The sequence below is a fragment of the Homo sapiens genome, chromosome 14 (genome assembly GCF_000001405.40).
Source record: "Homo sapiens chromosome 14, GRCh38.p14 Primary Assembly".
NCBI lineage: Eukaryota > Metazoa > Chordata > Mammalia > Primates > Hominidae > Homo > Homo sapiens.
The window spans coordinates 104,766,957-104,778,957 of record NC_000014.9 but is presented as its reverse complement, the minus strand read 5'-3'; the positions used below and the strand labels follow the sequence as shown (position 1 = coordinate 104,778,957).

The following is a 12,001-nucleotide window of genomic DNA, read 5'->3' as shown; positions in this document are numbered from 1 at the left end:
ATCTGTATGTGGCAGGGCTGGGTAACTGCAGGCCTCTGGGATCTGTCTCAGGCAGGTCTGTGGTGCAGAGCGAGGTGCCCACCAGGGGCTGGCCTTAGGTTCCATCCCCATGTGCTGCATCGGCCCCTCCCCTCCAAGTAGCTCTGCCCTCCTTTCTTTGAGGCCTGCGGTCCTCCGACTCCCTTGAACTTGCTGGACCCCCAGGTTCTGGTCCAGGGTCTGGGAGGAGGTTAAATGCAGGGAATCCGTCCCCAGGCTGGGCAGGGAAGGACTCCCACCCTTGGTGCCTGCACGTATAAGGGGAGGTGGGGTCAGTCTGGCACCCTGGCTGCTAGGTGGTCTGTGGCCAGCAAACCGTGCCCTGAAGCTTCTAGTTGGGAGGGGCAGAGGCCTTGCCCTGCAAAGCCCCAGGCTGAGGGGCTGGGGTTGGGGTGGGGTTTACCAGGACCTGGTTCCTGTAAGCCGAGGTCTCCTTCCCTGGCTCTTCCAGCCTCAAGCCAGCAGTAGCAGGGCAGCCTGATAGAGTAGGGCACCCCAGGGGTGAGGGGAGACCAGGAAGGCAGACACCCCTGTCTCCTGACAGCCTCGTAACCATGCAGGAGACTCACTGTGACTTGTCCCACACCCTCCCCAGTGTCTCCTCGGTTGGGGCTGGGGGCTTCAGGGATCAGGGAGAGGCTGGGTGCCAGCAGCGTGCCTGGTGGCACCTGGGACAGGGCCTTGCTGGGGGTGGGTGCTGTGGGTGTGCTCGCCAGGCCGAGGCATTGGGAAGGAACGAGGTGGGGAGCTCTCTGGAGAGGCACACGGGTGGGTACCAGCTGGAGGTGTTGCCTGAGCAGCTGGCAAGGCTGGGGCCTTCAGATTAGGCCATAGGTGAGTGGCCTGGAGCGCCTGGCCAAGGAGCAGAGCTGGGCAGGGGCCAGGGGCTGTGCTGGGCCTCTGTCCGGGGCTTTTCTCCGGGGAACGGTTCCGGGGCAGTGGGCTCGAGACTCTGGCCCTGGGGATTGCATACTGGGGCAGATCGGACCATCCAGGAGCGAGTGGGAGGTGGGTGTGCCGGGGCTTCACACCGGTTTCCACTTCTCTGGCCTGTGTTGACACAGGCCACCCTCCCCACCAGGCTGGTCCCGAGCCCCCTCCTGGCCCCCAGGCCTGGAAGACAGCTTCCTTGCTGCCTGGCCAGGCCCCCTTGTGGTTGCCAGGGCCTCGATGCTGGAATGTCAGAGGCCCCCCACTGGCCCCTCAGCCTCCTCCTGCTTTGCACAGGCTGGGCCAGAGCCTGCCACGGAGCCCCAGCGGCTACACACTCCACTCACTCACACCTCTCAGGGCCCCGCACGTTCCCACAGCCCTCAGGGTGTACGTGCTGTAGGTGTGGCTGTGCCCCAGGTATGTGTTCCCCAGGTGTGCTTGTGCCCCAGGTGTGGCTGTGCCCCAGGTGTGCGTGTGCCCCAGGTGTTCGTGTGCCCCAGATGTGGCTAGGTGTCTAGATGTGTTCTAGATGTCTGTGTATTCCAGTGTGGCTGTGTCCCAGGTGTGCGTGTGCCCCAGGTGTGTGCCTCAGGTGTGCGTGTGCCCCAGGTGTGGCTTTGCCTCCAGTGTGTGTGTGCCCCAGATGTATGTGTGCCCCAGGTGTGGCTGTGCCCCAGGTGTGCCTGTGCCCCAGGTGTGGCTGTGCCCCAGGTGTGCCTGTGCCCCAGGTGTGGGTGTGCCCCAGGTGTGGGTGTGCTCCAGGTGGCTGTATTTCCCAGGTACTCAGGGTGAGGTTGGGAAAAAAGCAGGACATTTCTACACTAGGTGGGACAAGCAGGTTTCTGGGGTGCCCCCCTCATGCCAGCCCCTCTGTGGGATCTCCATACCCCTCATCCTCTGAGGCCTGGCGCACGGCGGGGCTCAGAGACTGAAGGAAGGACTGTAGGAGTGGACGATGGTGGGGGTTTGACCTGACGCCGGGCCAGATGCCCTGTGTGGCTGCCTCAGCCTGGAGTAGAGTGTCTGAGCTGGAACAGGGGTCCTAGCCCCACTCTGTGAGGCGAGAAACTGAGGCTTGGAGAGAGGAAGAGATGGGGCTTCCCAGGACCTGGTGGGTGGTATGCAAGGGGAGCTGGCTGGTGCAGCGGGGGCTGTGGTGAGGGCCCTGGGAGGGGCAGGGGGATGCACGCAGACAGAGGCTCTGCCTGCCCGCAGAGTGCCAGCTGATGAAGACGGAGCGGCCCCGGCCCAACACCTTCATCATCCGCTGCCTGCAGTGGACCACTGTCATCGAACGCACCTTCCATGTGGAGACTCCTGAGGAGCGGTACGTGGGCTGTGGCGGCCAGGCCAGGCACTTGGGCAGCCCCAGCGCTTAGGAGGGACACGGGGATGGCGGGGTGCTGGCACCTCTGCCTGTAGCCATCCTCACTCCCCAGTGCTCCCAGGCCCTCCTCAGAGCCCAGTTTGGAAACTGGCCCAGTCCTGCCTGTGGGGTTTGGGTGGGGAAACTGAGGCTGGAGATAAAAACTGGCTAGGGACCGGGTGCAGTGGCTCACGTCTATAATCTCGGCACTTTGGGAGGCCGAGGTGCGCAGATCACTTGAGACCAGGAGTTTGAGACTAGCCTGCCAACATGGTGAAACCCCCGTCTCTACTAAAAATATAAAACTTAGCTGGGTGTGGTGGTGCACACCTGTAATCCCGGCTACTTGGGAGGCTGAGGCACAAGAATCGCTTGAACCCGAGAGGCAGAGGCTGCAGGAGCCGAGATTTTACCACTGCACTCCAGCCAGGGCGATAGAGCAAGACTCCGTCTCAAAAAAAGAAAAACCCGGTGGAGAGGGCCAGTCCTCCTTGGGGGGCGGAGTCCTGCTTGGGAGGCGGAGTCCTGCTTGGGGGGGGCGGAGTCCTGCTGGGGGGCGGAGTCCTGCTGGGGGTTGGAGTCCGGTTGTGGGGACAGAGTCCTGCTGGGGGGCTAAGCCTGGGTGTCCCCCACGTCCAAGAGGGCTTCGTGACCCTGAGTGTATGTGGCCAGACCAGGTCAAGTGGTGGCCTCCTCAGGGCTGTCTCTGGGAACCCCGACAGCTGTGGAACCACGCTTGTGAGGCTGGCGGGTGGGTGAAAGACGTGGGGTGGAGCTCCTGATCTGGTACAGGCCTGCAGCCTCACCTGACCTCCTGCAGGGAGGAGTGGACAACCGCCATCCAGACTGTGGCTGACGGCCTCAAGAAGCAGGAGGAGGAGGAGATGGACTTCCGGTCGGGCTCACCCAGTGACAACTCAGGGGCTGAAGAGATGGAGGTGTCCCTGGCCAAGCCCAAGCACCGCGTGGTGAGGCCTGTCCCCACTTCTGCCTGTGCCTGGGGCTGCCTTGGACTGTGGAGGGCTGGGTGGGTCATGGGGTCCCAGCTCGGCCCAGGAGACACTCAGCACTCCACGGCATCTCCACCTAGGCCGGTTTTCCATGTAGGGCGCAGCTGCTTCCCAGGTGGGTCCTCTTCCCCATGTCAGAGGAAAACTGGGGTTGCTGAGCCCTGCCAGGCTTGGGCAATGTTACCCCACCCTTCCCTGAACCCCATGCTCTGAGCTGGGGCCGCAGCCATGTGTTCCCTGTAAGCCTGGACTCCCCGCTGAGCCCAGTAGGCCACCAGGTGTGAAGTGGACGCCTCTCCTGGCTCTGCCTCCGACTCTGGGGCCCCTCATGCCACCCCACGCATGCCGACCAGCTGGGCACTGTTGGCAGCGCCGCTTGCTGACCCTGGTGCCTGCCCATAGACCATGAACGAGTTTGAGTACCTGAAGCTGCTGGGCAAGGGCACTTTCGGCAAGGTGATCCTGGTGAAGGAGAAGGCCACAGGCCGCTACTACGCCATGAAGATCCTCAAGAAGGAAGTCATCGTGGCCAAGGTGGGGCCGGGGCGGTGGGGCAGGGTGGAGATGAGGGTGCGGGGTGGCAGCTCACCCAGCCCTGCTTTACAGGACGAGGTGGCCCACACACTCACCGAGAACCGCGTCCTGCAGAACTCCAGGCACCCCTTCCTCACAGTGAGTGGGAGCCCAGATGGGGCTGAAGGGCTGGGGCCAGGTAGCGACTCCTGGGGCTGTCTCTAGGGGACGATGTCCTGTCTTCTTGGGCACGTGAGGGCTTTACACACCGTGGACTCCGCCGCTGGTGAGACAGGCCTGCCCTGGAGGGTCAGGCTGTGGAGGTGCCCAGTGTGGGCTAGGGGCTGTGCTCGCTGCTCCCGTGTGCGGGCAGGTGGGTGGGGCAGGTGGCCCTGGTCTTCCTTGCACTCTGCCGAGGCTCCAGGAGGCCCCAGCTCCCCATGCCCTGCAGCCCTGCCTGCCAGGCTTTTGTTGAGGCCCGGGCTCTGTCCTGCAGAACCTGTTCTGGGGACTTGGCCCAGGAGGTATTTACTGTGAAGGGGGCCAGGGTCCAGCCACTTGGTTAGTTCCAGGTCACTGTGTTTGGGGACGATTCTCCTGCAGATGGGGCCTTTGCTTTAAAAGCACAGTCGCCTGTGGTGGAAGGCGGGAGGGTGGGTCTCGCCTGGGAGGGTGTGTCCTCCCTTTGCGAAGGCCCTGGTGCTGGGAGCACTGTCCCCTGCTGAGGTCCCAACTCACCCTGGAGGACCTGAGCCCAGGCCACCTTGCTCACCTTTCAAACACTCCTTGGCACCTCAGGGGCTGCCGGGGCCCAGCCTGATGGTGGCGTGGCATGAGGCAGTGTGGTGTGGGGCAGTGTGGTGTGGGGCAGCGTGGCATGGGGGCAGTGTGATGTGGGGGTGTATGGTGTGGGGCAGTGTGATGGGGTGTGTGGTGTGGGGCAGTGTGGTATCGGGCGGTGTGGTATCAGGCAGCGTGGTGTCGGGCAGTGTGGTGTGGGGCTACGGGCGGTGTGGTATCAGGCGACGTGGTATCAAGCAGCGTGGTGTCGGGCAGCGTGGTGCGGGGCTGCCGTCCTGCCTGTGGGGCCGCAGTTCCAGCTCCCCTTCCTTGCAGGCCCTGAAGTACTCTTTCCAGACCCACGACCGCCTCTGCTTTGTCATGGAGTACGCCAACGGGGGCGAGGTAGGGGCTGGGGCTGCGGGGGATGGACTTCGCGGCCTGTGGGCCGCCCATGGTGGGGCCGGTCCTTCCCGGAGCCTCGGCTACTCTCCATGGCACCAGACGGTGCTCCCTGCTGGGTGGGTGGTGTGATGCCTGCCCAGGCAGCTGCCTGCTGTGGGGTGACTTGTTCCTGCTGAGTTAGGGCTTCTGAGACTTTCCAGGCCCCCGTGCCCTCTGGTGGCTGGTCCCTTCCCTGTGCAATGCCGAGACCCGGTCTGAGAAACCCCAGCCCTGCAGGCCATGGGGGCAGAGGCCCGAGCCACGGCTGTGCCTCAGGTTGCGCCTCCCGCAGCTGTTCTTCCACCTGTCCCGGGAGCGTGTGTTCTCCGAGGACCGGGCCCGCTTCTATGGCGCTGAGATTGTGTCAGCCCTGGACTACCTGCACTCGGAGAAGAACGTGGTGTACCGGGACCTCAAGGTGCGCTGGCGGGCAGGCAGGGGGGCAGGGCCCTGGGGGCCTGGCGGCACTGACCTGAGGCCACCTTTCCCCTAGCTGGAGAACCTCATGCTGGACAAGGACGGGCACATTAAGATCACAGACTTCGGGCTGTGCAAGGAGGGGATCAAGGACGGTGCCACCATGAAGACCTTTTGCGGCACACCTGAGTACCTGGCCCCCGAGGTGTGCGCCCCACCTGCGTGCATACGCGTTGCTGCGTCCCCACGTCCTGAGCACACGCAATGCTGTGTCCTCTCTGTGCCCCAAGCACGTCACACCTCCCCCGGCAGTGTCCCGGACACCCCTTGATGCCGAGTCCTGCCCATCTGCCACCCGTGCAGGTGCTGGAGGACAATGACTACGGCCGTGCAGTGGACTGGTGGGGGCTGGGCGTGGTCATGTACGAGATGATGTGCGGTCGCCTGCCCTTCTACAACCAGGACCATGAGAAGCTTTTTGAGCTCATCCTCATGGAGGAGATCCGCTTCCCGCGCACGCTTGGTCCCGAGGCCAAGTCCTTGCTTTCAGGGCTGCTCAAGAAGGACCCCAAGCAGAGGTGAGGGCCGCCCATCCCAGCTACAGGCTACACCTCCATCCCCTCATCCCCAGGCTGCACCTGCCCCTGCGCCAGGCGGTCCTGGCACCTCCCAGACTACACTGATAGCCAAAGCTTGATGTCCTTGGCCAGGGCTGATCTCCAAAGCCTCAGGCCCAAGCAGAGTGGCGGGCAGGCCGGGGTCAGTTGGGCCTCTGTCCCCAACCCTGCAGCCTGCACCCACCCACTCAGGAAGCCCCTGCCCTGCCGTGAGCTCTGTGGTGCTTTGCTACCCACAGCTGCTCAGGGACGCTGCACCACCGGCTCCCCTCCCTGGCCCCGGAACGTCCTGTCTGGCGGGCCCTACATCACAGGAGGAAGGGGCCTGAACCCAGGGCCTGGGCAGGTGGCGGTACCGACACTGTGGCCTTGTTTCCTGCCTGCAGGCTTGGCGGGGGCTCCGAGGACGCCAAGGAGATCATGCAGCATCGCTTCTTTGCCGGTATCGTGTGGCAGCACGTGTACGAGAAGAAGGTGCGGCTGCTCCCCGCATATTCACGCGCACGCATGCTCCCCACATATCCACACTCACGCATGCACGTGGCACGCTCGCCAGATTTCCCACACACTCGCCCTCACCTCAGGAGCCTGCTGCAGTCCTGGTACAAGGAGGGCCTTGCTGCACCAACCTCAGCGCCTGGTGCTCAGAGGCTCTGGCACTGCCGGGTTCCACCAGGAAACTGGCCTGGTCCTCATTTCCTCCTCCCCTCGGAGGTGTGTCACACTCTGAGTTTCCTCCTCCCCTCGGAGGTGTGTCACACTCTGAGTGCCAGCCTTGGGGTTCCCTTCCCTGACGCTGTGCAGTGAAGGCTGGCTGGTGGTGGACCAGGGGTGCTGCCCCTTGGCCTCCACGAGTTCCTCCTGTTTGACCTCAATCCCTTCTGCCGCAAGGAGAGCCCAGCCCTATTTCTGGCTGTGCAGGGACAGGGACAGCACCTACTTTTCTGGCACATGGGGGAGTCCGCCCTGGAGGGAGGCAGCTCTTTCTGCATGAGTCGCCATCCTGGGTGCTCATCTTTCAGGGACCCTAGGAGCCCTGGCCATCACCCCAGCTGATGGGGTCTGCCAGCTGGGTTCGGAAGCCTGCACTCTGAGATGCTGGGTGCCCTGTCACCAGGTGTGCTTCTGCCCCGTTCCCAGCCTGCCCCTCCCCTGAATGCCTGTCCTAGGCTGTGTGCAGCTGGTCGGGCTGGGCAGCCCTGGGACCCAGCTGGGCACCTGTTCTCCCATTAACACAGGGTGCCCTGGTCCTGGTCCCCGTTCCTGCCTTGAGGCCTGCCACCCTCCTGCCCTGCCCTCCAAGGGTATGGGGGGCCTGGGCAGTGCTCAACCTCTGCCCAGCCTTGACCAGAGACCTTGCTAATTGACAATGGACAATGCTGGTGCCCAGCCCAGACTCTGGGGTGGGGCAGTGCTTGAGGGGGTCCTTGACTGTGGGACCTGAGGGGCTCTCTGGCAGCTCCTCACGTGTGCACATCACCTTATAGTCACCCTTCATCCTGGGTCATTGAGAGTCCTGTCTGCAGCCAGATGCCAGCAGGCTGTGGTCCTGTAGTCCCTGAGCCATGGAGGCAGGGTGGGCTCATCCTGTGCACCTTGTTCCACAGTCTCCCTCTTTCCCAATTTACAAGAAGACCAATAAGAAAAATAAGAAAACAAGAAAGAAAAAGGAAAAATAAAGTTATCACCTCCTGGTAGCAGGGAGGGTCTCTCAGAGCTGGGCTGCACTACCTCCTGTCGCCTGCTGGGGCTGCTGTGAGGGCAGCTTTGCGTCTCAGCTGTTGAGGGTTGTCTCCGTGCTCCTGCACCCCTCATGTCCCTCCCTCCCAGAGCTGCCTCTGTGGGGGGCTGGTGGCTTGCTGCTCTCTGACATCAGTCCTGCCTGGAGACCCCTTGGAGATCCAGGTGCTTTGAAGGTCTTGAGCACACTTGAGGGTGTGCTGGGAGTGGGGAGCGAAGCTCATGACTGTCCCGTCTGCCCACCTCTGCAGCTCAGCCCACCCTTCAAGCCCCAGGTCACGTCGGAGACTGACACCAGGTATTTTGATGAGGAGTTCACGGCCCAGATGATCACCATCACACCACCTGACCAAGGTGAGGGGCCACTGCCTGCCCCCGCCCACTCCCTTTTCTCTCCACACTCAGAGAGGCCTGCAGTGTTCAGCTTTTTTGGCTTCAGATGTTTTAAAATCTAAATATTTAAAAAGGTTCCTTTTGGAGAGTGCCAATGATCAGGGTGGGAGGCAGTGCTCTGAGGGCCCAGGTCCCTGTGTCAATCTGTGGGGCCCTGTCTCAGTTTCCTGGCAGTATGGCAGCGTGCTGGCCGTGCTTTAAGAGGTTGGCTTCCTACTGGAGCTGTGGGTGGGTGGAGGTGGCAGGGAGGTGGGGCACCGGGGTCTGAGCTGTCTACACCCACAGATGACAGCATGGAGTGTGTGGACAGCGAGCGCAGGCCCCACTTCCCCCAGTTCTCCTACTCGGCCAGCGGCACGGCCTGAGGCGGCGGTGGACTGCGCTGGACGATAGCTTGGAGGGATGGAGAGGCGGCCTCGTGCCATGATCTGTATTTAATGGTTTTTATTTCTCGGGTGCATTTGAGAGAAGCCACGCTGTCCTCTCGAGCCCAGATGGAAAGACGTTTTTGTGCTGTGGGCAGCACCCTCCCCCGCAGCGGGGTAGGGAAGAAAACTATCCTGCGGGTTTTAATTTATTTCATCCAGTTTGTTCTCCGGGTGTGGCCTCAGCCCTCAGAACAATCCGATTCACGTAGGGAAATGTTAAGGACTTCTGCAGCTATGCGCAATGTGGCATTGGGGGGCCGGGCAGGTCCTGCCCATGTGTCCCCTCACTCTGTCAGCCAGCCGCCCTGGGCTGTCTGTCACCAGCTATCTGTCATCTCTCTGGGGCCCTGGGCCTCAGTTCAACCTGGTGGCACCAGATGCAACCTCACTATGGTATGCTGGCCAGCACCCTCTCCTGGGGGTGGCAGGCACACAGCAGCCCCCCAGCACTAAGGCCGTGTCTCTGAGGACGTCATCGGAGGCTGGGCCCCTGGGATGGGACCAGGGATGGGGGATGGGCCAGGGTTTACCCAGTGGGACAGAGGAGCAAGGTTTAAATTTGTTATTGTGTATTATGTTGTTCAAATGCATTTTGGGGGTTTTTAATCTTTGTGACAGGAAAGCCCTCCCCCTTCCCCTTCTGTGTCACAGTTCTTGGTGACTGTCCCACCGGGAGCCTCCCCCTCAGATGATCTCTCCACGGTAGCACTTGACCTTTTCGACGCTTAACCTTTCCGCTGTCGCCCCAGGCCCTCCCTGACTCCCTGTGGGGGTGGCCATCCCTGGGCCCCTCCACGCCTCCTGGCCAGACGCTGCCGCTGCCGCTGCACCACGGCGTTTTTTTACAACATTCAACTTTAGTATTTTTACTATTATAATATAATATGGAACCTTCCCTCCAAATTCTTCAATAAAAGTTGCTTTTCAAATTTTTGGCTCACTTTGCTGGGTGGAAGAGTGGGTGGCCAGGGAGGGAGTGGGGAGTCCTGGGAGGGAAGCAGCATCCTCAGAGCAGCTGGTCCTCCCCAGCTCCTCCTGGTGGGCACCGCCACCCCAACAGGTTTGGGGACAGGCTGTGTGGTGGGCCGAGGCGGGAGTATACAGGCCTGTTCCCAGGGGCAGCCTCCCATGGAAGGTGTTCCACCCCCATCTCCAGAGGCCTGGCCTGAGGGGAGATGGGAGGCCCTGGCTGGCCCTGCCCCCGTTGGGATCCACCTCTTCTTCCCTTGACCCCACCCAGCTTCACCCCAGCCATGAAGGAGACCATTGGACCACGTGGCCATCTGCCCCCCAGCCCCAGGTGCTGTTCCCCTGGGTAGGGCAGTGAATGAGACAGACCACCAGGAAGGACAGATAGGGCAGGGCCCAGAGTTGGGGCCAAGGTCATGGCCTGGGCCACGGTGGAAGTAAGGCTGGGAGGCCTGAGTGGCCTGTTCGAAGCTGGACAGAGCGGGAGGAGGGGCTGCAGGCGGTGGGAGGAGGGGCTGCAGGGGGCGGGAGGGGACAGGCTGGGGCCCAGGTTACCCCAGAGCACTACATCGAGCTCTGAGCCGGAACAGCCTGCAGAATGTGCCGGTGCTGCCACCTGGTGGACGCCTGCCGGAACCGCGCCCTGAGCCAGGAGAGGAGTCCACTGCCGAGCAACTGACAGCGGGTTGGCGACCAGGTTCCGGGTGGTTGGGTGACCAGCACGAGCCAGGGGCCTGGAGCTTCAGCTTCCTCATCTCTCAAATGGACTCCCCGTAGGTGTGGATGGTTGCAGAGTCAGGCCCCTGGCGATGGCAATTGGCCCCTCTCTAAGGCATTCCCAGGGGTGCGTGGCTGCCCTCACTTCCACTGGAGGGGGTGCCCCATAGGGAGCACAGGCTGGCGAGGATGTTCTGGGTCTGTGGGAGCCAAGAACAGCCACATCTGGAGCAGCCCGAAGCTCTCCTCTGGGTGATCCCTTATTGCTTCAGTTCTAACAGGCCGCAAAACTGATACCGCTTTTCGGGAAATACACGAAACATGACACAGTAAATGATGTTCCGAGGGTGAGAGGCATCTGGATTTCAGATCTATCAATAATGTGACTCTTAGAAACCAAAAAATACAGCAATGCCCTTCCAATATCCACAAACTTTGAGCAAAGCATTGCTGAAAGTAACCAAGGTATGGAAATGGTCAGGCAGACGCAGCATCTCCCAGACAGCCCGGCTGAGAAGCATGGGCTGCTTCTCCCAGCACGGCCCCCTCTGACAATATAGGATTGCCTTAGGGCCATTTCTTACCTTTTTTATGGTAGAGATAGGGTCTCGCTATGTTGTTCAGGCCGGTCTTGAACTCCGGGCCTCAAGTGATCCTCCTGCCTTGTCCTCCCAAAACGTTGGGATTATAAGGTGTGAGCCACCACACCTGGCCTCTTAGGGATAGTTCTATAGTCCAGAGAGAGAGAGGCTTCAACGTCATTGGCATTAATACAGACATGACCCTGTGTTATGTCCCCGTTACAAGTGGCTGAGGACCTAACAAAATGAACGCAGAAATGGAGACCCTCTGAGAATTTCCCGACCCTCCTAGCAGCCCCAGACAGAACCATCTACAGCAGGAGGCAGCATCCCAGGAGTGGGGTGGAGGGTGTCAGTGAGGGGTGAGATGTGCAAGGAGATGCACATCTCAGAGAGGAAACTCCAGGAGGTGCAGGTGCCCTTGCAAGGGGCAGTCCAGTCCTGGCCAGCGAGGCCAGAGCGGGTGGAGAGGGCCAGGATCCTGCAGCCCCAACAGGGCCTGCCGAACAGCGAGGGCTGTCTGGAGAGGTTGTAACAGGAATACGCCAACCAAGAGGAAGCTCTCCTTCCTGTGTCAGAGGTACCCCGAAGGAAACAATGCATAAAGTGTCCATTTCCAAGACAAAGTGCCTAAAATCAGCTTAGGTCAGCAAACTACGGAAGCAACAGGATATACTAGGCCCCTGCTTGGATAGCCAACGCCTGTTTGTCACCGCCAGCCCCCGTCCCTTAGTTTCCCTCACCTGAACCAAAGTTTAGTCTAAAATGAAAGTTTACTAGCCTCCAAAATAGCTCGCTTTGTCTGTTCGTATCAGCCTGCCCAGCTACTTAGGTCAGAAGTCAAATATTTGAAGAGCCCCTGAGCTAACTAGGATTGCAATGCATTGTGGGCTGCAACAGAATGCAGCAAGACAACTCTAAAGAAAACACCTAAAGCCCCTGCCCAACAACCAATAGGTGACGTCCAGGAAGGTTGTGACCCCATAGTACTCAGCCTATGAAGAACCGGGGGAGGGACCTGCACACTAGGGGATAAATTGCTTGTTGAAACTGT

The 12,001-nt window shown here is 61.1% G+C and overlaps 1 protein-coding gene and 1 long non-coding RNA gene across 18 annotated transcripts in view, besides 4 other annotated features; one reads left to right on the top strand and one right to left on the bottom strand.

The window, feature by feature from the left end:
• AKT1 (AKT serine/threonine kinase 1) overlaps positions 1-9,609 on the top strand; it is a 26,400-nt gene extending 16,791 nt beyond the window's left edge. For all 14 annotated transcript variants that reach the window (NM_001014431.2, NM_001014432.2, NM_001382430.1 and 11 more), the window contains 11 exons: positions 2,188-2,299; positions 3,159-3,306; positions 3,751-3,882; positions 3,955-4,020; positions 4,978-5,046; positions 5,378-5,503; positions 5,579-5,707; positions 5,866-6,080; positions 6,506-6,593; positions 8,111-8,213; positions 8,538-9,609. In NM_001014431.2, coding sequence (NP_001014431.1) covers positions 2,188-2,299; positions 3,159-3,306; positions 3,751-3,882; positions 3,955-4,020; positions 4,978-5,046; positions 5,378-5,503; positions 5,579-5,707; positions 5,866-6,080; positions 6,506-6,593; positions 8,111-8,213; positions 8,538-8,617 — 1,268 coding nt within the window. In that variant the 3' untranslated portion in view covers positions 8,618-9,609. The remainder of the gene's footprint in view (positions 1-2,187; positions 2,300-3,158; positions 3,307-3,750; positions 3,883-3,954; positions 4,021-4,977; positions 5,047-5,377; positions 5,504-5,578; positions 5,708-5,865; positions 6,081-6,505; positions 6,594-8,110; positions 8,214-8,537) is intronic.
• Positions 9,542-12,001, bottom strand: part of LOC102723342 (uncharacterized) — a 4,602-nt gene continuing 2,142 nt past the window's right edge. The window contains exons 1-3 of one of the 4 annotated variants that reach the window (XR_007064364.1): positions 11,691-11,979; positions 10,951-11,094; positions 9,542-10,566 (exon numbers count right to left, since the gene is read on the bottom strand). This is a non-coding gene — a long non-coding RNA (uncharacterized LOC102723342). Of the gene's footprint in view, positions 11,095-11,690; positions 11,980-12,001 lie in introns of those variants that run through there. The other 3 variants (XR_429419.5, XR_007064363.1, XR_007064362.1) reach the window with 3 other exon arrangements.
• Positions 10,112-10,406: an enhancer, noted in NCBI's record as "tiled region #15301; HepG2 Activating DNase unmatched - State 1:Tss, and K562 Activating DNase unmatched - State 5:Enh". NCBI's record gives its function as "activates a minimal TATA promoter and a strong SV40 promoter by Sharpr-MPRA in HepG2 and K562 cells {active_cell/tissue: HepG2 | K562}" and the evidence as "EXISTENCE:reporter gene assay evidence [ECO:0000049][PMID:27701403]".
• Positions 10,112-10,860: a biological region, named in NCBI's record as "Sharpr-MPRA regulatory region 15301".
• Positions 10,309-10,860: an enhancer, noted in NCBI's record as "H3K4me1 hESC enhancer chr14:105234435-105234986 (GRCh37/hg19 assembly coordinates)". NCBI's record gives its function as "activates a minimal SCP1, AML or CMV promoter by ChIP-STARR-seq in naive H9 embryonic stem cells {active_cell/tissue: H9 hESC(naive)}" and the evidence as "EXISTENCE:reporter gene assay evidence [ECO:0000049][PMID:30033119]".
• Positions 10,861-11,411: an enhancer, noted in NCBI's record as "H3K4me1 hESC enhancer chr14:105233884-105234434 (GRCh37/hg19 assembly coordinates)". NCBI's record gives its function as "activates a minimal SCP1, AML or CMV promoter by ChIP-STARR-seq in naive H9 embryonic stem cells {active_cell/tissue: H9 hESC(naive)}" and the evidence as "EXISTENCE:reporter gene assay evidence [ECO:0000049][PMID:30033119]".